At 41.3% G+C, this 21,626-nt stretch overlaps 1 protein-coding gene and 1 long non-coding RNA gene across 23 annotated transcripts in view, besides 7 other annotated features; one reads left to right on the top strand and one right to left on the bottom strand.

The window, feature by feature from the left end:
* The window catches only part of TTN-AS1 (TTN antisense RNA 1), a 97,391-nt gene continuing 80,176 nt past the window's right edge, over window positions 4,412-21,626 (top strand). Inside the window, exons 1-5 of one of the 2 annotated variants that reach the window (NR_038272.1) lie at window positions 4,412-4,445; window positions 5,037-5,221; window positions 17,317-17,413; window positions 18,946-19,276; window positions 20,283-21,475. This is a non-coding gene — a long non-coding RNA (TTN antisense RNA 1). Of the gene's footprint in view, window positions 4,446-4,775; window positions 5,222-17,316; window positions 17,414-18,945; window positions 19,277-20,282; window positions 21,476-21,626 lie in introns of those variants that run through there. The other variant, NR_038271.1, reaches the window with a different exon arrangement.
* Window positions 4,465-4,977: an enhancer, noted in NCBI's record as "H3K27ac hESC enhancer chr2:179387607-179388119 (GRCh37/hg19 assembly coordinates)". NCBI's record gives its function as "activates a minimal SCP1, AML or CMV promoter by ChIP-STARR-seq in naive H9 embryonic stem cells {active_cell/tissue: H9 hESC(naive)}" and the evidence as "EXISTENCE:reporter gene assay evidence [ECO:0000049][PMID:30033119]".
* Window positions 4,654-4,803: an enhancer, noted in NCBI's record as "active region_16806". NCBI's record gives its function as "activates an Ori minimal core promoter by ATAC-STARR-seq in GM12878 lymphoblastoid cells {active_cell/tissue: GM12878}" and the evidence as "EXISTENCE:reporter gene assay evidence [ECO:0000049][PMID:35858748]".
* TTN (titin) overlaps window positions 7,574-21,626 on the bottom strand; it is a 281,435-nt gene continuing 267,382 nt past the window's right edge. For all 21 annotated transcript variants that reach the window (NM_003319.4, NM_133437.4, NM_133432.3 and 18 more), the window contains 12 exons: window positions 20,967-21,551; window positions 20,531-20,836; window positions 20,125-20,424; window positions 18,927-19,502; window positions 18,523-18,828; window positions 17,567-18,160; window positions 11,826-17,434; window positions 11,545-11,701; window positions 10,113-10,804; window positions 9,859-10,012; window positions 9,031-9,333; window positions 7,574-8,892 (listed from right to left, as the gene is read on the bottom strand). In NM_003319.4, the coding sequence (NP_003310.4) occupies window positions 8,597-8,892; window positions 9,031-9,333; window positions 9,859-10,012; window positions 10,113-10,804; window positions 11,545-11,701; window positions 11,826-17,434; window positions 17,567-18,160; window positions 18,523-18,828; window positions 18,927-19,502; window positions 20,125-20,424; window positions 20,531-20,836; window positions 20,967-21,551 (9,878 nt within the window). In that variant the 3' untranslated portion in view covers window positions 7,574-8,596. The remainder of the gene's footprint in view (window positions 8,893-9,030; window positions 9,334-9,858; window positions 10,013-10,112; window positions 10,805-11,544; window positions 11,702-11,825; window positions 17,435-17,566; window positions 18,161-18,522; window positions 18,829-18,926; window positions 19,503-20,124; window positions 20,425-20,530; window positions 20,837-20,966; window positions 21,552-21,626) is intronic.
* Window positions 12,010-12,199: an enhancer, noted in NCBI's record as "active region_16807". NCBI's record gives its function as "activates an Ori minimal core promoter by ATAC-STARR-seq in GM12878 lymphoblastoid cells {active_cell/tissue: GM12878}" and the evidence as "EXISTENCE:reporter gene assay evidence [ECO:0000049][PMID:35858748]".
* Window positions 12,230-12,619: an enhancer, noted in NCBI's record as "active region_16808". NCBI's record gives its function as "activates an Ori minimal core promoter by ATAC-STARR-seq in GM12878 lymphoblastoid cells {active_cell/tissue: GM12878}" and the evidence as "EXISTENCE:reporter gene assay evidence [ECO:0000049][PMID:35858748]".
* Window positions 12,630-12,709: an enhancer, noted in NCBI's record as "active region_16809". NCBI's record gives its function as "activates an Ori minimal core promoter by ATAC-STARR-seq in GM12878 lymphoblastoid cells {active_cell/tissue: GM12878}" and the evidence as "EXISTENCE:reporter gene assay evidence [ECO:0000049][PMID:35858748]".
* Window positions 13,020-13,069: an enhancer, noted in NCBI's record as "active region_16810". NCBI's record gives its function as "activates an Ori minimal core promoter by ATAC-STARR-seq in GM12878 lymphoblastoid cells {active_cell/tissue: GM12878}" and the evidence as "EXISTENCE:reporter gene assay evidence [ECO:0000049][PMID:35858748]".
* Window positions 17,962-19,161: an enhancer, noted in NCBI's record as "BRD4-independent group 4 enhancer chr2:179401104-179402303 (GRCh37/hg19 assembly coordinates)". NCBI's record gives its function as "activates an origin of replication core promoter dependent on BRD2, P300/CBP, MED14 and CDK7 cofactors, and independent of BRD4, by STARR-seq in HCT116 cells {active_cell/tissue: HCT116}" and the evidence as "EXISTENCE:reporter gene assay evidence [ECO:0000049][PMID:35650434]".

A 21,626-nucleotide genomic window follows, 5' to 3' on the forward strand; every position in this document is an offset into this window, starting at 1 on the left:
TGATTCTCAAAGTGGAAAAGAGCCCTCTTCTCCCTAATCAAGCACTCTCTTGCCTGCTCACCCTCCAGCAGGTTTGGTTCTTGGTGTTTTGAAGGGGTGGAAAGACAACACTGATAAACAGAGACCTGGCCTCTAGTTCCAGCTCTGTTGCTAACCATGTGACTCTGGGCATGTTATTCAAAGACCTGGATCTCAATATTCTCCATTTTGAGCTTTCTTTCTGGGGTCTCATTCTCTTCCCCTTAGTGGTCCTTTAGGTTTTTAGGACAGAGCATCTCAGCCTCCCACCTGGTCTTGGCCTCATGGGCCTGGTGGTGTCCCTTCTCTTTGGCTTCTTTGGGTTGTGGCAGGGATATGGAAGTGAAGGGGAAACAGCTGGCCTGCCTTATGCATGTGGGCCGAATTTCTTGGCAAGTTGGAGAACGAGGAATACCTGTGTCCCTCATCTGACCAAAAGCTAAAAGTTGATTATGGTGGTCTCAGAAGTGGCAGCTGACAACAAAAAGCTGCATTCATTCATGTGCTACATCCCTTCATAAGGCTGAGACCGGTGTCTGACAGAGGCCCCTCAACATCGCTGGAGACTTCTATAACTCAGGGAATTCGTATCTATTGCATATAGCAAGAAGTATTCATCCTTGAGGCTCTGCTGGTTCAGGAACCACAAGGTTCATTGGCAGCAGCCTCTCCTGGATGCAGAAGGAAAGGAAATTCTGAGCATCGAGCCTTTGTAGGGTTTCAAAAATGGAGTTCATCACTGCCTCTTTTTAGGGGGAACTATGTGTAGGTATTTCTCAGGTGGCTTAGACATCCCAAGGAACAGAGTTGGGGAAATACTGACCCAGAGATACCAAAAAGCACAAAACCAAACTCTCACTTTTTATAATTTCAAATAAAAACCCACGGGCCAATCTATTTTCACAAATCCTATCTATCTAGTCTGCTGCCTCGTAGACACATGTAGGACAGCATTTCTTAAACTTTTAAAGCCACTGGCATCTTTGTAAATGAAACCTAAAAAATATACATAGACACAGTCTCAGGGAACCTTGTGGATCACTAACAATCTCAGGATAAGCATGAGTTTCATGTTTGGAATCCCGACCTTTAGGCCACACTATCTTTTGCAGAGAATTCTTACAAGATTGAGAAGCATTGGCATAGCTGCCCATTCCTCTTACCTGCTTTCCATCTCTTCTTAAAATAGAGCAGGAGTGAATGGGTATCATCTCCATCGGCTGTATTCTTGACACGGCATCCTCAGCGGAACTTGGTTTGCTGGGCAGGACTCTTCTACCTCTTCACTGCCAATGCCATAGCAGTGGCCTTTGTCACTTAAAAGGTTTTGGGCAGTAAGGTGTCCTCCTATATCCATCCCTTGCTGCCACTTTTCCTATGCCTGGGAAGTCTAACAGATTGGCTTCATTGACATGCACCCCCAAGTCCCATGAAAATCTTAGGAAAGACCTTTCCACGATTGCCTATAACCTCCCAGGGCTATAATTAAAAGGGACATCATGGGTTAGAAATTTGGTGGTAGGTGAAGTCTTCCTGTGAGTGGAATTCTATAGGCGGAAATAAGCTCTTTGATGTAGAAAGCAAACAAATGTCATAGCTTTCTCAGAACAGCTAAAGACTTGGTAAAAATAAAATTTTATCAAGTCTCTAGTTGACTTAAATCTCTTTAGTGATTCCCTTACCTCTTAGGGAAAAGCCCAAACTCTATTATATGGTATATGAGGCCTTCTGCAAGGTGGCCTTGCCTCTTGCACCCAGCCCTTCAAAGGTTGTTCCACTATAATCTTTTTTCTACTAAATTTAAAAAAAATTTTCTTTAAACTTTTTTGGATGTATTGTGCCATCCTTTGCCCCTAGGTCTCTGCAGGTGCAAAGGTCCTCTGCCTGGAAAGTGAGGCCTGCCCCTTCTTATCCCATATTTTAGGTTGCAGCTTTTGCCTGTTTGCCCCTTTCTCTGACTGGATAAGATGCCTCAGCAATGTGCTCCCAAACACTCCAGATTTCTTTGATCATAGCACTTAACTTCATTTCTTAGAGGATATTCAGTTGCCTCTTCAACCAAGATCTATTCCTTTCCACATCTTCAGTGTTTCCACCTCATATAGCCTGTCTCAACCTGCATTATGCATAGCACCAATGAAAAGCAAATTCTGTCTTCAAATAAATTTGGGGAACACTGTGTCACCTCCTGGAAACATAATTCATAGCTCATAAAAGACTGAGAAATCCTGTATAGAGAAGAAAAATTACCCAAATTCTAAGTTTATTAGGCTGTGGAACAGTTTTTCCACAACATCTTGAAGAGCAGAGTTTGGGAAACATTGACCCAGAGGTACCAAAATGCATAAAGGCAAGTTTTCATATTTTATAACCTTAGAATAAAAACCCATGGGCCAGTCTATTTTCAAAAGTCCTACTTAAGTAGCAGTCACTATTTTCTCCTATTACAAGGAAATGACTTTCTCTACCTGAATTTCTCAAAATTACGTTTGGGGCAGAGTAAACAAAACTGAAAATTACTTTTTCTTTCTGGAGCACGATCATAAAACAATCTTCTTGAATCAGTCACCATGGAGATATCAATTTAACCTGTTATTTTATGGGCTGTTTCTGGTTTAACAACCTCTATGGTTCATCGTTTCTGGTTTAACAACCTCTATGGTTCATCTACATAATCAGCTACTATTGGATAGAGAAAAAATCTGTCTTTTCAGAAATTCCCTCAGAACACTTACTATAAAGAGGTGCTGTTCCATGTCCGCCACATCTAGGGTGACAGGTTGGATTATGTCCCTCCCTAAGAGATGTTGGACTCATAACCTCAAGTACCTCAGGATGCGAACTTATTTGGTGATAGGCTTTATAGAGGTAATTAAGTTGAAGTGGAGTAACTAGGATGAGCCTCAGTAGTATGACTGGTATCCTAAAATGGAGAAATTTGGACACAGACATGCAGGAAAAATGTCGTGTGAACATGAAAATAGCCATCTACAGAAAAGGAGAGAGGCTTAGGAGAGATTCTTCCCTCAGAGTTCTCAGAAGGAACCAACCCTGCCAACACCCTGATTTTGGACTTCCAACCTCCAGAGCTGCGAGACAATACATTTCTGTTGTGTCTGCCACTCGATTTATGGTACTTTGTTCCAGCAGTGCTAGAAAATGAATACACTAGTCCCCTCTGATCTGTGGTTTCACTTTCTGCTGTTTCTGTTACCCATAGTACAGTACAATAAGATATATAGAGACAGAGAGATCACATTCATAAAACTTTTATTATAGTACATTGTTATATTCTATTATTGTTGTTAATCTCTTACTGTGCCTAATTTGCCTAATTTATAAATTAAACTTTTTCATAGGTATGCGTATTAGTCCATTTTCACGCTGCTGATAAAGACATACCTGAGACTGTGTCATTTATAAAGAAAAGAGGTTTAATTGACTCACAGTTCCACGTGGCTGGGAAGGCCTCACAATCATGGCGAAGGCAAGGAGGAGCAAGTCACATCTTACGTGGTGTCAGGGAAGAGAGAAATGAGAACCAAACAAAAGGGGTTTCCCCTTATAAAACCGTCAGATCTTGTAAGACTTATTCACTACCATGATAACAGTATGGGGGAAACGGCTCCCATGATTCAATTATCTCCTACCAGGTCCCTCTCACAAGGTGGAAATTATGCGAGCTACAATTCAAGATGAGATTTGAGTGAGGACACAGCCAAACCGTATCAGCATGTACGTATAAGAAAAATCATGGCCAGGCGTGGTGGCTCACGCCTGTAATCCCAACACTTTGGGAGGCCGAGGTGGGCAGATCACGAGGTCAGGAGATCCAGACCATCCTGGCTAACAAGGTGAAACTCTGTCTCTACTAAAAACAAAAAATTAGCCTGGCGTGGTGGCAGGCGCCTGTAGTCCCAGCTACTTGGGAGGCTGAGGCCAGAGAATGGCGTGAACCCGGGAGGCGGAGCTTGCAGTGAGCCGAGATTGCGCCACTGCACTCCAGCCTGGGTGACGAGTGAGACTCCGTCTCAAAAAAAAAAAAAAAAAAAAAAAAGGAAAAATCATAGTATTTGTAGGATTCAGTACTATCCACAGTTTCAGGATTCCACTGGGGGATCTTGGGACAGGTTGCCCAAGAATAAAGGTGGCCTGCCGTACATCTAATGAGTACCAGTGAGACCTAGGCTAGGTCCCCTCTAAAGTGCTGCTTCTCTAGTCCCTAGCTTCAATATTCTGTACTGTGGTCCCTAACAGAATAATGATTGCTGGTATTTATTGGGTGCTCTGCTAAGCGCTGTTCTGAGTTTTACAAGTAGTAACTTGTCTAATCGTCACAATAATACTGTGAGGTTGCTGCTGTTATTCTCATTTTATGGACGAGAATGTCAAAGAATGGAGAAGTTGGGTAACCTGCCCCAGGTGAAGTAAGTTAGTAAACAGCAGTTCCTAGATTTGAGCGGGGCCCTCAGGGTTTTGAATGCAGACATGTAATTGCAACATGATTCGGCTGATCATGTAGCCAGGGTGTGGGGTTTATAAAATAGACGTGAATAAAAAAAAGGGGCAGGATGACAGTGAAGCTTGCTCATGGGTTTTGTGGAGGGCGTAGATTGGAACCAAAAAGCACGCCTCGGCTTGGTGCTCCCTGTCGCCCTCTGTTGACATGGGGAGAGAAGAGCGGGTCTGACTCGGAAATGACGCCATAATGCTGAGGAACCACTCCTGGCGTTGCGGAAGGTGGGGTGTGGGGCCGGAAGACCCTCCCCCCGCGTCTTCAGAGGAGCGCTGTTTCTGGAGGAGTTAGGGGAAGGAGGCTGCCTGGTAAGCCAGGAAAGGGGCTTCTGGCCGTTCTGTTGGAGCGCCTCTGACTGACTTCCCCCATGTGTCCGTGTGGCCACACCGTGCTACTTTCAGAGGCAGTGGGCTTTTCGCTAAGGGATAAAAAGAAGTAAAACCTTGCCTTTAGCGCAGCTCTCCTTCACTGGGCAGATTGCTCTCCCTCCCCACTCTCCCAGGCCCAAATTGGATCTCAGCGCCTGGGAGCTCCAACTTTAGCAAGTGCGAAATCCTGTCTTCGGTTTTGGAATTTTCATCCGCACAGACTATATCAGCCACGGATAGGATATGTGAGAATACCAGCATGTCAAGGCTGGGAATCATCCTTAGGCATCACCTAGCCAGTCCTGCCTCTCATTTTAAGGTAAGAATAGGCATTTAACATTGTAAGATGATGTAGTGGGTTCTGTTGGCATCACTTAGATGCCCAGGAAATGTGTATTCTTCCATCGATTTCTCGATTGTTCACTGTTTGGCTGCGTTAGTCCACGGAGAATTGTCCTGGCCAACAGGCACCCCTCTTCACTTGGGAAGGTTTATTTCCCTCTTCCATCCCTCCTCAGCCCCTCAGCTTATAGCCTGTAGCCATTGACTGGTTGGTAAGGGGGTACAAAATGTCAGCCCCCTTGCTCCTAGATGGAACCAACTCTGTGGTACGATTGAAGCTCCCTGTGAGATCTGGCTGAGGCTTCTGCTGAGACCACATTCGTGCTCAGCTTGCTTCCTCTGCCCTATCTGCTGGCTGCCCCATTCCCTTTTTCCCTGAGAGTAATAATCCCTCAAAGAATTTCTGAGACAAGAATCCCCGTCTCAGGCTCTGCTTTTAGGGAATCTGACTTAAGACGGAAAACTTGCTGAATAAATTAATGAAGACCCAGGATTTTTCTCTGGAGAATGAAAACTGACAGTACATTTGCTTCAGCTTTGGTCACCTGTACCTACATTAAGGAGGTGAATTTAGGCAAATAACATCATAGGCTTATAATTATGATTAACAAATTGAAGTGGACAAATACAGATATTTTTGGCATTATTTTATTACCAAGTCTAGATCAGTTGTTTAAAAAGCATAGTAGAATGACACTATTTAAAATAGTGTCAGTCTTCCATATACTGTCATTCTACCATGCTTTTAAAACAACTGATCTAGACTTGGGAATAAAATAGTTCTTTAGTTCTGAGGTCCTTTATTTGTTCTGTCTCAATTTGGAGCTGCAGTAGCCAATATGGACTCAGATTCACAACTGATCATTTTCCCTGAAGTTGTCCTTTTCCGTTCACTATGCTCTTTGAGGGACAGTATCTATACCGTGTTAATCATCTTTGTATTGTTCCCTGTGGTGTTTAGCACAAAAGATTGTGAATTGTAGATGTTCAAAATCCATCAAAGATATTGAATCACAGCTGATTCCGAGTTGAATCAGCTCTCCTAAAAATATTTTTCTTGATATATTTAGAAGATAAACTTTTGGGGATAAATATATCCATGAGAACTATATCTAGGCTTTTTAAACAAAATTGCTGAATACATCTAACGATAATTTAAACATTTGCTTAAAAGAACTTATTAGCATGGGCTGTTTTTTTTTATTTTTTATTTTATTATTATTATACTTTAAGTTTTAGGGTACATGTGCACAATGTGCAAGTTAGTTACATATGTATACATGTGCCATGCTGGTGTGCTGCACCCATTAACTCGTCATTTAGCATTAGGTATATCTCCTAATGCTATCCCTCCCGCCTCCCCCAACCCCACAACAGTCCCCAGAGTGTGATGTTCCCCTTCCTGTGTCCATGTGTTCTCATTGTTCAGTTCCCACCTATGAGTGAGAATATGCGGTGTTTGGTTTTTTGTTCTTGCGATAGTTTACTGCGAATGATGATTTCCAATTTCATCCATGTCCTTACAAAGGACATGAACTCATCATTTTTTATGGCTGCATAGTATTCCATGGTGTACATGTGCCACACTTTCTTAATCCAGTCTATCATTGTTGGACATTTGGGTTGGTTCCAAGTCTTTGCTATTGTGAATAGAGCTGCAATAAACATACGTGTGCATGTGTGTTTATAGCAGCATGATTTATAGTCCTTTGGGTATATACCCAGTAATGGGATGGCTGGGTCAAATGGTATTTCTAGTTCTAGATCCTTGAGGAATCTCCACACTGACTTCCACAATGGTTGAACTAGTTTACAGTCCCACCAACAGTGTAAAAGTGTTCCTATTTCTCCACATCTTCTCCAGCACCTGTTGTTTCCTGACTTTTTAATGATTGCCATTCTAACTGGTGTGAGATGGTATCTCATTGTGGTTTTGATTTGCATTTCTCTGATGGCCAGTGATGATGAGCATTTTTTCTTGTGTATTTTGGCTGCATAAATGTCTTTTTTTGAGAAGTGTCTGTTTGTATCCTTTGCCCACTTGTTGATGGGGTTGTTTTTTTCTTACACGTTTGTTTGAGTTCATTGTAGATTCTGGATATTAGCCCTTTGTCAGATGAGTAGATTGCAAAAATTTTCTCCCATTCTGTGGGTTGCCTGTTCATTCTGATGGTAGTTTCTTTTGCTGTGCAGAAGCTCTTTAGTTTAATTAGATCAGCATGGGCTGTTTTGAACTTGAGTTGCCTTATCTATCTATGATCGTTTTTGTGATACACGAAGATGCATACTTCCCCACCCCAGAATTTCACAGAAAACAACCAGCCACACATTTTGAGGTGCAGATAGCTTGCTTTATTTTGTTGTTACTATCTCAAGGAGGTCCAACAATTATAACTAACAATTGAATTTATACTTGCATGAAAAGAACTACATCAAATTGACATTTTGGGCAATTAGTAATATTGTTTAAAATTTAACAACAGCTTTATTTTGTTGTTGTTCTTTACTTTTTGCTGTGGCTCATTGCTTAGGTGCCCAGGTTTTTCAGGTGCAATTAAAATTTAGAACTACCACACAAAGGCATTGGCTGCACTCTGGGACCTCCAAGAGTTGGCACTGCTCTGGCATAGGAATACTTGAATAGCTTGGTTAAATGAAGGGATGGCCAGGAGATGTTACTTTTCCAAGCTATTCAGGCACTCCTTATGTCAGAGACAGCGTAAAATGAGCGAACAAAGTGTTGGCCGTTACACTTTGCTCTGGTAATATTTGTCATGATAATTTTGTGTGACATCATCAGAGAAAATGTAAGACGTTAAAGTGTTGCTTACAGGAGGGTAAATGCAAACATCACCAATGCCTTACATTTCTGATTCAGTAGGTATTGGTGCACATATCAAGTGATATGCACAGCATCATTCTCTTTTAGGTGGACAGGACATCTTCAATGGGGATTTTCTCAACCCACTGAGGCATACTTAGACATCAACAGTATGTTGAGGCACAAAGATTGATTAAATGTTGAGCAGGGTATTCGTTCCATAAGAAACTTTCTCCTACCAACAGTTAGTTTCAAAACTTACATTGTAAAATGTCATAAAATAAATGGTACAAAACTTTATAACCGTTAATCCGGCTATATACAGTATGTACATGTCACTAGCAAATGTATTATATTCTTAGGTCAACAATTATGAAAAGATTGAAATGAATATTTTTGAACTTTGACTCATTTAGGTTGATACAAAACTACTTTTTTTTCTTTAAATATTTACAGTTCAGAAAGATTAGTCCGTGTGAAACGTTTGCGAAAAGTTAAGAATGAGTGTAGAGTATAAGGGCACAGGCCCTCTTAAATGGATCGAATATGTATATTCACAGTGGCAGAGTCAGATCCAAATTCATTCCCTAAACTCAGGGTATAAAGTCCACCATCTTGTTTCTGTACGTCCATGATGATCAGGGTTGTCAGGTCATCTGTGTTTTCAATGTGGAACCTCCCCTGTTCTTGACTGTGGATTTTTCTTCCACCACAGGACCATGTTACTTCTGGGGTAGGCTCACCCGTGAAAGCACAGGCTACTGTTAGAACTTTGCCTTCATCAATGCTGATATCAGATGGAAGAGCTTCAATTTTAGGCGGAATTCCTTTATGGAACAATGACAAAAAAAAGGTCTTAGAATCACTGAAAAAAATAAAGATTTGCTTTCTACTGAATTGTGTGTACTAAAGACTACACCATGTTACTTGGCTTGTCTACCTCTACCAGTAATTTTATTGCTCACCTCTTATGCCTGCTTTAAGCATTTTACTAGTTGAGCTTTCCAGTTGTGTCATATTAGATATTCCCATAAAGCTGCTGGAACTCATTTCTACAAAGGACTCTTGCATGGAGGACATGCTTTGGGCAGACATGCTTGCAAATTTCATCTCAGTCATGCTGCTAGCACTGCTGCTGCTGAAACTGCTGAAGGAGGCCTCCTGCTTGGAGGCAGACATTTGGACTGACTGAGACGAGAAGCTTCCTTGCAAGCTTGTGTCACCACTTGTTCTCAATACTACCTCTCTGGAAGGTTCTTCAACTAGAGCTGTGGAGCATAGCAGATACACAGTGAACATCAATGACATCTGGTTAATTGATGACATATGACGCTGACTTACAGAAATGGAAACTTCAACACACACACAGCAGCATAACCCAAACAATTTGCTGTTGAAGCATAAGCAAATACATATATACATACATTTGTCAAGAGCTAGCTCAATGTCTCCAAAACATGAATCCTTATATTTCTATCATTACATTACATGCAGGTGCTAGGAATCACTAGGAGAAAAATGATTAGTCATATAGAAAGTAATTGACATATTGTGCATCCTGCAAATAAATGTTACACGGCAGTTGGTAGCTTTACTTTGAAATGTAATCTATCCAAGTTTCTGTGTAGCTATAAAGAAAGTTTGACTACAAGAATGAATTCACATCAGTTGGCTGTCCCTCTTTCACATGGAATTTAATAAGGCTTCTTAGAGTTTTCTGTGCTTGAAAGAGAGGCAAAAAAACGATCTAAAGGCCTTAAACATGTAAGGAAGAAGGGTGAGGAGATACTTACGAAGGACCATTAAGGAAGCTGTAGCTGAACACTGGCCACGGAAATTTTTGGCCTTAATTGTGTACTTTCCACTGTCGCTGACTGATGCATTTCGGATTTCAAGGGAGTATACATTTCTGGAGCGGCTTATGCTGACATTTGAAGAAATAGAAATCTAAGACAAAGGAAAAAGAAAAGAAATGTTGAAGTTCTTCAGATGTGGAAGACATGGTATTTTAGTTTTTCTTCAATAATATATTCATAATTAAACTTACTGGCAGGTTGTTTTTAAACCATTCGATTTCAGGGGATGGCTCGCCACTGATTTCACAAGTAAAGAGAACATTTTGTCCTTCATTAATATTTTGAGATCTAGGCTGTGAGATGAAGGCTGGAGCATCTGAGAGTTCTTTGCTCAGTGTCAAATCATACTGACACTTGACGATTCCTTCCTTGGTTTTGCTTATGCAGGTGAGGATTCCTTCATCTCTGTGACTGGCTTGCTTGATGGTTAGGGTCTGATCGCTGCCTGAGACACCATATCGGTACTCCTCAGAGTTGGTAAGCTCTACGCCATTCAGTACCCATTTCACATCAGTGGCACCAGCAATGTTGGCTTTTAAAACCAGTCTTTGACCTTCGTTTATGCTCATCTGAGTAGAAAATGCTTTAATCTCAGCATGAGTTCTGACTTCTTCTGATGCCTGTGATGTTTTAGTGATTTCCTCATGGACAATGGATTTTTCCAGGGAGGTTGCTGCTGATTTCTTGACTTCTTCAGAAATCAGAACCTTTGAAGCTTCCTCTTTGAGGGCTAACTTTTCTTGAGATTTTGCCTCTGACATCTTAATTTCTTCAGACCTTAGGGCTTTTTGGGAAATTTCCTCTTGGACAACAGCTTTCTTCTGAGGTGTAATTTCAGAAGTCTTTTGTGTAGAGACTTTCTGTGCCTCAGTATCTTTTATAGCTAAAAAAGAAACCTCTGTAAGGCAAACTTAATTAGAAAGAGACCCCCACCTTTTACTCTTCTAGATTCTGCGTGTGAAAAACATAAAAAGAAAAAAAGTCAACTTCTTCATGCAATGTAGGTAATACCTAATACTTTCTCAGTTCCACTTTTGGAAAATTATCATGTGTGACTTTTGAGATCACTGTAATGATTCCTTAAACTAAACTGAGCCAAAGATGATTCATATGACTTAAGGAAAAAAGTCTTGAAAAGAATAGTCAACGGATTTAGGAGATAAGTGGATTTGGGAGATTTTGAGTAACCAAAACATTAAATTATCTTTCAGAAGATTGAAATGAAAGCAAACTAATTTTAATTGGTAAAATAGAAATAGTTCTTTAATTAACTTTGCACTGCTTTGGAAAATTAGCAACTGTGAAGGTTTAGGCAAGTAGTGCCATTTTGTATATTCACTGACTTTATTCTTAAATATTCCTGGGAGCAGGGGCTGACACTATGGAATCTTATATAATACCACATATAACTAGGTACTTAATAACTGCTTTTTATGCTCATAGAAAAGCATATGCTAACTTCAAATGTGTGTTTCTGCTTTGGTGTACAAATTGTATTCTGGAATTAGGAAAATAATTTTATTTTAATACTTTCTTGTATGTGTATATAAGGGGGGATGTTTGAAAATATTTCCCTAATATTATCTTCTGAAGAAATGTGGGTAAAAACAAAAGCCAACCTACCTTTTATTGTTAATTTGCAGCTAGAGGACACAGATCCAGCTGAATTTTTTACTGTACAAGTATAAAGTCCACTGTCAGAAGTATCAGTCTTATGAATTTCTAAGAAGAACCCTCCCTTGTCTTCAGAGAGTTTATATTTACCTCCTTGTGTAATGGCCTGTAGAATGCAAATGATTTGTGTTTTAAAAAGTGATTTCATTTTAAGCTTTTTTTGGGAAGCTGAATTTAGAAGATAAAATATTTTAGAAGATAAAAGAAAGAGACATTTAAGAACTGGTTACCTTTCCATCTTTTGTCCAGATGGCAGTTGGCCGGGGTTCTCCAGTAGCCTTAACTGCAAATTTAGCAACACTGTCTGAAGAAACAGTTGTATCCTGCAACCCAGTAACAATTACTGGTTTTGAGGAAATTGGTTCAGGAGCTTTTGGTTCAGTTTTTCTGGTTACTGTTGACTCAGTGGTTTTCTGATCTGATTTCTTAGTTTCTGATATTTTTGATACCTTCTCATGGATACTCTTAAAGGCTTGCCCCATAAATTGTAAGTTGGTTTTAGACGTTCCACCTTCACCAGAAATCTCACAAACATATTCTCCTTGATCAGATTCAGTGAGGTTATTGATTTTGAGCTCATAGGTACCATCTGCTGAATAATGAAACTGGAAATGCCCATTTTCCTTCAGTTTCTTGCCATCTTTATACCAGGTGACCTCTTTTGCCCTTAATACACTGCTTTCAACCACACAGGTCAGTTTTGCAATCTCTTTAGAAGCTTCTGCTTTCAGGAACTGAGTAATCTTTGGTGGGGCAGAGACTGGGAGGTGCTGAACTTTCTCTGTTGGTGTTGGTTTTGTCTCTGTGGGTGATACGGCTTTCGGGTGAGAAGGTTCTGGAGATTTCACTCGTTTTGGAGACTTAACTGCTTCTGGGGATTTCACCCGAGGCTCTGGGGATTTGACTCTTGGTGGTGATGTCACAGCCTTTTCAGTTACCCTGGCCTTTTGAATAGTCAGAGTGAACTCTGCTTCTTGTTTCCCTTCACTGTTTTCTACCACCACGCTGTAATTGCCCTCATCGGAAGCCTGGACTGAAGAGATCTCAAAGGTTGATTTGTACTTTGTGGTGGTCACTTGGTGGCGGGCAGAAGTACTTAGCACTTGTCCTTTACGCAGCCAGGTCACAGTTGGTACCGGCTCACCATCGGTGTCACAAGAAAACCTTGCAGACTCGCCCTCGTAGACGGTCATGGACCGTGGCTTTGTTAGAATTCTTGCTGCCAAAGTCGTCTTGATCTTTCTGGTTGTGGATTTTTCTTCCAGTGACTTTTCTTCTAATGCAGCACTTTTCATTTCTGCAGATGCAGAGTGTTCATATGAGGAGAGACTTTCCCTTGTCTCCGTCATCTGTGATTTCACTTCCCTGACAGAAGACGAAGCTTCCATCTCAGATGTTTTCTTAAATGATGAAACAGCATACGCCTCTGTTCTTGTCAGCTCAGGGAAAACAGATCTGGGGACCTCTTCATCTCTGCGTTGGGAAGCATAGGTGGTATAATCCCCTCCTGTCACGTCCAACGTTGCATAGTCAGAAGCTTCGCCCTTGTAGTTGGTGCACACAGCACGGTAGGTTCCACTGTCATCAGTATGACAGTCCAGAATTTCCAGGGTGAGGACTCCACTCGTGTTGGTGTAATGAATCTTACTGCTTTCTTGGAGTTCCACACCATTGTGGTACCATTTAACCTCGGCAGTTGGCTTAGACTGAACATTTAAAATAAAACGTGTATTTTGGCCACATGGTACCCTGTGCGAGCGCATTCTCAGTGTGATTCGAGGGGCATGGTCCAGTGTGAAAGGCTGCTGACTCAAAACTTCATACTTCCTTTCTGATGTCTTCTGAGTTTTTAAAGCAGCTTTCATGGACTCATACCTGGAAAAGATATCAAATCTTGCAGACCTCTCAAATCTCGAGAGTGATCTCTCACTAGACACAGGGCTGGGGGATCGTGGGCGAGTTCTCTCTGGAGTAGGTGACCTTCTTTCTGTGTCATCTTCGTATTCCTCAGCCGGTTGTGGACGTGACCGGATCAGCTCAGACACTGGCCTCATTAACTCAATATAAGTTGGAGACAGGGAGCGCCGTCGTCTCAGTAGTCTAGACGCAGATGAGGATGATTCTCTTTGAGCATGTTTTGAGATTTCGTATTCTTCCTCAATTTCTGTTATTTCTGTCACTTCTCTTTGTCGCCTTGATTTCTTTCTAGACTTTTCCTCCTTTGACATGAAGTCAAGTTCGCTTTTGTATTCTGAGAGATGCTGGGTGGTCGTAACTGGGCGAAGCAACTCTTCATCCTCCCTCTCAGCCATGATTCTTTGCCGTTGCTTTGGCTGTCTGTACGCAGCCTGGGCATGCCGTTCCCTCAGTTCTGCATAACTTGTACTAGCTTCAGCCTTCGTTGGGATGTGATAGGTTGAATACCTGAAGTCTTTTCTTGTTTCCTCCACCTTGACATGAGCTTGTGGTGAAGAGTAACGTAGGCTAGAAAGCTCAAAGTGTGGAGGGCTTCGACTTGGGGGTGAAGCTGAAAAACCTAACTCAAGCTCTTCTTCAAGACGCAGCCTCTCTTCCTCTGTTCTTTTCATTGCTAAGTAGTCATCAATGGGGAGGAGTAATTCTTCATCAGAGATGTCCCCAAGAGAACGTCTTCTAGGTCGGTAGTAAAAGTCATAATCAGGAGAAGGTGTACGCCGGCGGGCTGGTCTCACTATCTCAAGATCATCTTGGGACAGTTTAGGAATACGCCATTTAGGTCTGTATTGATCTGTAATGCGTGGAAGAGGCATCACATAGAACTGTTCCCATCTTGAAAGGCGGATGCGCTTGGGTCGTTTCTGTACAACTCTGTCAAGTTTCCCAGGCATTTCATACTGATCACGTATCTTTTTATACCACTTCATGTCAGACATGGGCACGAACTGCTTGATGCGTTGGTCTTCTTCTATGGTAGTCTGCTTATACTTGCGTGGCTCTGGTACATCATAAGGCATCCGGAGTTTTCTCTCCTCCTTCTTTTCTTCTATCTCAAGTCTGAATTCCCCTTTTACAGTCTTGGTGCTTACAGCCGGTTTATAAAGGACAGCAGCTTCTCTCAGAGCCTCTTTAGCTACCTGTGTCAGTGGTACACTTTCAGTTCCAGAAAGAATTTCAGCCATTCTGAGGGTTTTGTCAATTTGTTTTTGTACGTGTCGCTCATGCTCCTCCTTACTCTTGAATTCCTGTTTCTTGTACCTCAGGCGTTCCACTTGTAGGTGAGCCTGGCAGCTGGTGGACCCAGCTGTGTTAGTGGCTGTGACTCTATAATAACCCGTGTCTTCAGGCAAAGTGTCCCTGATGTGCAGAGCATAATAATCCAAGCCTTCATGGATAATTTCAATGTTAGGCCCGAGGGACAGTGGCTGACCATCTTTCTCCCATTTTAATGTTGGTGGGGGGATGCCAGACACTCTGATCTCAAAGCAGACACTTTGGCCTTCTTGGCATTCTGCATTTGCCAGTAACCTTTTGAACATGGGTCTTAAGGTACTATCTGTTGGAGGTGGGTGTAGGGTTACTGTCAGCTTTGCTTTACAGCTGTCTTCACCATATTTGTTCCTTGCCACAACAGTATATTCAGCGTCATCATCTGTAGTGACACTGTTGATTGTTAATTGGTAAAGACCCTTGTCTGACTCAAATGTGTACTTCTTGTCATTGTCACCTGGTTTGATTTTCTGACCTGATTTATACCATGTTACATGAGGCTCTGGGTGGACAGTTATAGTTACTCCAAACCGGACATTTTCACCTACATAAGCTGTCTTATTATAGAGAGGCAGGGTAAATTCTGGTGGCCTTTCCAGGAGTCTCATTGTGTCTGTTCTGCGCTTAATTTTCTTCATGGTTCTACGGCAGTAATAGTCATAGACTTCTCTCACACCTTTAACAAATAGCTCTGCATAAGAACTGTCTTCACCATAGTCATTGACTACTTTGCATCTGTAGGTACCATCATCTAATTTGGTAATGTCTTTGACATAGAGGATGGCCACTCCATCTTCGTAGGTGATTTCGTATTTCTCACTGTTCTCCAGCTGTCGGACGCCAAAGTACCAAGTCACTTGGGTAGACTGATCATAATTTTCAATTTTGCATACATATTTGACATGTCCTCCTTCTTCACCAACTGCATGCATTATCTGCCCAGAAACTGGGCCAATTTCAATGGATGCCACTTTAACTTTAGCAACACTCACTCCCTTCTGAGATCGAATTGCACCACCACAGGAGATCCGGGCTGCTGACACAACCATGTTGAGGTCTTTCTTGATCAGGGTGTGGTAATAACGCCGGTGTTTTAATGTTCTGATAACTTTAGTACTGACTCTTTCTATCTTCTGCTTCAACCATGGGTGCTGGAGAGCCTCCGATGCTGTCATGCGAGATTTCCTCTCTTTCACTAACAACCGGTCAACAAAATCCATGGCTTCAATGCTAATCTCTTTGAATGCTTCCTCATCGAAAGTATATTCAGCATTCATGATATTCTCAATGATCTGTTGGTTAGTTTCAGCCAGGAATGGGTTGATACCACTCAATAGCACATATACCAGTGTTCCAAGTGACCACATGTCTGTGGCTGTGCTGACAACATCATGCTGGTGGACTTCAGGTGCATAGTATTCTGGGGCAGTGAATAGAAGCCTGAAGTTGTCCCCTGGTTTCAGCTGACGGGCTTGACCAAATTCTATGATTTTAATGGTAGAGCTTCTTCTGGTTTGGTAAATGATATTTTCTGGTCTAATGTCAAAGTGTCCAATATTATGACTGTGTAAAAACTGAAGTGCTTCACAGACCTGGTGAACATAACTTACAATTTCTCTTTCATTAAGTTCAAAAGCACTTGTGTTAATGCGCTCAAATATGTCAAGTCCTGATATAAACTCAAAGATCATAACTAATTCTTCCATGCTTTCAAATGATTCATGGAGGTGTAAGATGTTTCTATGCCTAGCAATATTCAGAATGGAAATTTCCTTCTTTACCAAAACCTGATCAGTCCCTTTGACTTTAACAAATTTGGCCATGTATGTCTTCTTTGAGGATGTTTCAACACAACGATGGACAATTCCAAACTCACCACGCCCAAGATCTTCAGCAATCATATATTTCTCATAGAGTTCCTTGGTTGAAGAGTGAGATGCTTTAGTCATGGAGACTTCCCTGGTTTCATCTACCTCTTCATCATAGTTCATAGCTCTGGTCTTATCTTCTTTGGTTATGGTTGGTTCTGAAGGCTCTGAAGGCTTGCTCAGACCAAATTTATTTTCAGCTATTACCCGGAACTGGTAACTTGTTTTTCCAAATAAGTTGATCACGGTATAACGTGTTTCTCGGGCCTGTCCTACACGGAGCCATCTTTCTGCAGTAGTTGCACATTTTTCAACAATGTAGTTGGTGATTTTGCTGCCACCATCAGAGGCTGGCTCAGTCCATGTTAAGTTGACAGAATCTCGTGAGACATCACTAACTTTGACTCCTCTGGGTGGGTCAGGAACATCAGCCACATCCAGTTCAACTGTCTTCTGATCAATTCCAAATCTGTTTTTAGCACAGACCACATAGAAACCAGCATCTTTTCTCTCTACCCCATTGGGGAAAACAAGTGATGTGAAGGATCTTGTGACAATAACTTGGTAGTGGCCATTATTGTCAATGAGATCTTGTCCTTTCTGCCAGGTGATCACAGGATCTGGTTTGCCACTGAAAGGAATCTTGATGCTGACCACTTCACCTCGGAGAGCATGAACTGCTCCCATGCCTTCAAGAGTTTTAGGTAAGTGTATCTTAGCTGGAACTGTATCAGAAAAAAAAAAAAAAAGAATATAATTTAGCAACATCTAACAGTATGTGTTTAAGTGCAATAGCCTCCACCCCCAAGTTAATAACTCATTTAGCCTCAACTTGATGATAATTTATTTATTTTTACCTTCCACTTCCAAGGAGGCAGTGCCAGACACAGATCCCCCTTGGTTGGTAGCTCTGACTTGGTAAACTGTGGCATCATCATCTGTGACACTTGCAATGATGAGCTGGTGGTAGCCACCCTTAAATTCTTGAATCCTATATTTTAATCCATCTGCAATGATTTCTTTGCCTTGTCTGTACCATTTGACGATAGGTTTTGGATGACCAGTCACTTTGCAGACCAAGGTAGCATTGCTCTGATATCTGACATTTAGATTTCTCAGTTCCTCTTTAAAGTGTGGTGCCTGAATTGGGACATCAGATTTGGGAGTGATGGGTTCTGATATTTCACTCCATTCACTTTCCCCACCTAGATTTTCACATTTCACACGAAACTCGTATTCAAGACCTTCAATAAGGTTTTTCACTGAAAAGACAGTTTCTCGAATTTCTTCTGTTGTCACAGAAATCCATTTATTCTGCTTCTTCTCACGCTTCTCAAGGTAGTAATTTCTAATCTTTGCACCTCCATCACTGGCAGGTGGCTTCCAGGCCACAACACAAGAATCTTTTGTGACAGCAGTAATAGTTGGTTTGCCAGGAGCACCTGGCTTTTCTATTAAACAAAAAAAAGATTTGAGTCATGAGATGAAACAGGCAGCTTTATTAAAGCTTATTTTTTTAAAAAAGAATGTTATATGAGTCCAAAATTTTGTTAAAAAATAGCTATTCCAGAAAGATGAAATTGGTTACTTTATACTAAGACATATCAAAAACCAAAGTTCTATTTTTACAATGGGGTTAGGATATATATTTCTCCTTTTAGATATGCAAACATTCAATTAAAGTGAAAGAAAAGGCACTTGTACTTTATCTGAATCTTTGCTATTTCCTTTCAAAATTTCTTTCTGTTTAAAAGAATTTTATGCAAAGATGGAACTTTACCATAGGAAGATACAGAAATCAAGTTGTACTCACCAAATGGACTCTTAATGATCACAACTGAGGACACTTCTAGAGGGTCACTGATGCCGAAAGTGTTCTGAGCTGAAACCCGGAAGTAATAGCCAGCATTTTCTGTGAGGTTCACAATTCTACAGGTTGTCACTGAGATGGCTGAAGACACCAATTGCCATTCAGCCCCCTCCTTGGCCTCACATTTTTCCACCACATAGTTGGTGATCCAGGAGCCTCCGTCATCTGCGGGTGGTTTCCAGCTGATCACTGCGGAGTTCTTCAATAGAGCTTCGATCACAATTGGTCCTGTAGGTTTGTCTGGTTTATCTGTTGGGGGAAAATACAATTGTGGTGGTTTTCATAGTGTGTTTTTGAGATTTTTTTTTCTTTAAAAATAAAAAGCACTGAAAATAAAAATAAAATACCTTGTATTTCCACATCAAGGATGGCATCAACTGTTCCAAAAACATTGCTGAGCTGGACTTTGTATTTCCCAGCATGAGTCTTACGTTGGACATTCTTCATGACAAGATGAGTATAGTGCTCAGTGTTTTCAATAGTAATGTTTTCTGAGTTTTGCAAAAGTTTCTGACCATGGAACCAAGTCATGGCAGGTACTGGACGACCAATGTACATAACATGAAGCCGAAGTGTGGAACCCACAGCTCCATAATATTTCTCTTTCAGTGGGTAACCAGGATGGAACTGCGGTGTTGCTTGCAGGAGAAGCTTACTACTGGTTTCTACTTCTCCAACCTCATTGGTGGCTATGCAGGTATAAACACCTTCATCTTCCTGTTCCTCTGTCATTACTGTAAGAGTGTGTGTGCGTCCATCTGAAGACATTTTGTATTTCCGGCTTTGTATGAGCTCTTTACCAAATCTGTACCATTTAATGTCAGGAAGAGGCCTTCCAACAATCTGGCATGAGAGTTGAGCAGCTTCACCCAATTTTGTGGTAACATCCTTCATTTCTTTGCGTATTCCTGGGGCCTCTCCAGCTGAACAATATGAAAGATAATATTAAGTGACTGTTAATACTCAATCTGTAATCCTTTGTCCTTGTATATCAGGAATGAATTTACCTTATTTACTGACACATACCATGATTTACATATTAGCCTAATTCTTAAAAACTCTTTGAAGTGATTTTCCTAGGATCATATGGTAAATAGGGATTCAATGAGCACATCGTCACATTTTATGTAGAGTGTTTTTTTCTCTTTATGATTGGAAGGGGATTAATAATGTATAGGCTTTTAAGGGACTGTAAATTCTCTCTATAATTCTGTAGTATTCTTGCCCTTACTTAGGTTCATTGAAGTGGCATACAATTGTTGACCTTTCAAATCTTGTTGGGAAATATTTTTAAAAAGAAACCATTGCATTAGAGGGAATTACTCAAGGAAAGTGCTCAGTTCACTCCATCTAACATCTGCTGAGGTTGTGTGCTTGGAATGGTTTCCTGTAGAACTTGTCATATTTCCTGTGTGTGTACTTGCTTTTCTTTCTTAACACTTGCTCTCCAATAAAGCTTTCCAGGGTTCTACTTAGTATAGAGGGGGAATTAGCCTTAACTTGTTTAGTTTGTAAATCATAAGTAGAGAACCAAAGGCTACTTACATGTGAGTTTAGTCTTTATAGACATAGCAGTTCTGCGAGGTCTGCTCAGCCCAGTCTCATTCTCAGCAAAAACCCTGAATTCATACTCAGTAGCTTCCAGCAAACCTCCTATTGTGAATTGCTTGTCCTTAATACGTTCCTTATTGCTCTTCTTCCAGGCACTGTCTCCAGACTGTCTATATTCAACCCAGTATCCAAGAATTTCTTTACCACCATCACATTCAGGTTTCTCCCACTGTAGAGTGACACTATCTTTGGATATTGAAAGAATCTCAAGTTCTCCTGGTTGGCTTGGTTTATCTGAAATATTTTAAAATAATGAAAAGGGAGTCAGCTTTACTGGTGAAATAAAAGGACCAAACATGGCTTGCTTCTTTAATTTAACCCCTTCTTCTGAATTCCTTACCAAATGGATCTTTGCAAACAACTGGTTCAGAAGCAGGGCTGGTCTCACTCAGGCCAACATCATTCTGTGCGATGATGCGGAACTGATACTCAGCATCGGGAACAAGCCCTGTGACAGTGTACATTGTGGTGGTGATCTGAGTCTTGTTGTGTCTGACCCACTTGTCAGTGGATGTCTCTTTGCGTTCGATGTAGTAGCCTGTGACTCTAGAACCACCATCATCTTTGGGCCGGGACCAGGACAAGCTAACAGAACTCTTGGTTACATCGAGTACTTCTGGAGGATTGCTTGGAGGTTCTGGAGGATCTGTAAATATAAGTGGAAAGCACACATGTATTAGAATACAGTCCCAAGTATTATAAGCCAATGACTTTCATTTAAAAACAGAAAAGTGCTGAAATAATGTTTATAATTTTGTGGTTGAAAGGGCACTTACTCAATGGTGTTTTTGGTGTGACTGGTTCCTCAGATTTCAAGGGTTTGCTTATGCCAAACTGGTTTTCTGCTGAAACACGGAAATGGTATTCTACATTCTCTTTGAGGCCTTTTACCACCAGAGATGTACCTCGGACTCTGGAATCAATGGTATACCAGGCGGCTTTAGGCACTTCTCGTCTCTCGAGGATGTAGCCTAAGATGTCAGCACCACCATCATCAGCAGGAGGTCTCCAGCTGACCCTCACAGAGCGGACTTGGATGTCATCATATTCCAGTGGCCCTTCTGGACTGTTGGGACTTCCTATCACCCTGACCTTGATGTAGACAGCCTTCTTGCCACATTTATTTTCCAGAACCAGGTCATAAGTGCCAGAATCACCCCTGTCTGCTTCTTTGATCACAAGCTCAGTGTGTGTTTCAGATGTTGCAATCATGGCACGCTTACTAATATCCTGGCCTTCCTTGGTCCATTTACATATTGGGAATGGTTTTCCTTTGATTGGTATGGTAAGTCTGATGACGCCACCTTGCCTTACAAAGATACCTTCTTGGTATCTTTCATCAAGTTCATAATCAGGATATTCTGGAAAAAAAGGTAGGGTTTCAATTTAGCATTTGGGGTAGGGGGACTAAGAAATAAGTCTATGGCAATTATTGC

This window comes from Homo sapiens, chromosome 2 (assembly GCF_000001405.40).
Source record: "Homo sapiens chromosome 2, GRCh38.p14 Primary Assembly".
In the NCBI taxonomy this organism is placed as follows: domain Eukaryota; kingdom Metazoa; phylum Chordata; class Mammalia; order Primates; family Hominidae; genus Homo; species Homo sapiens.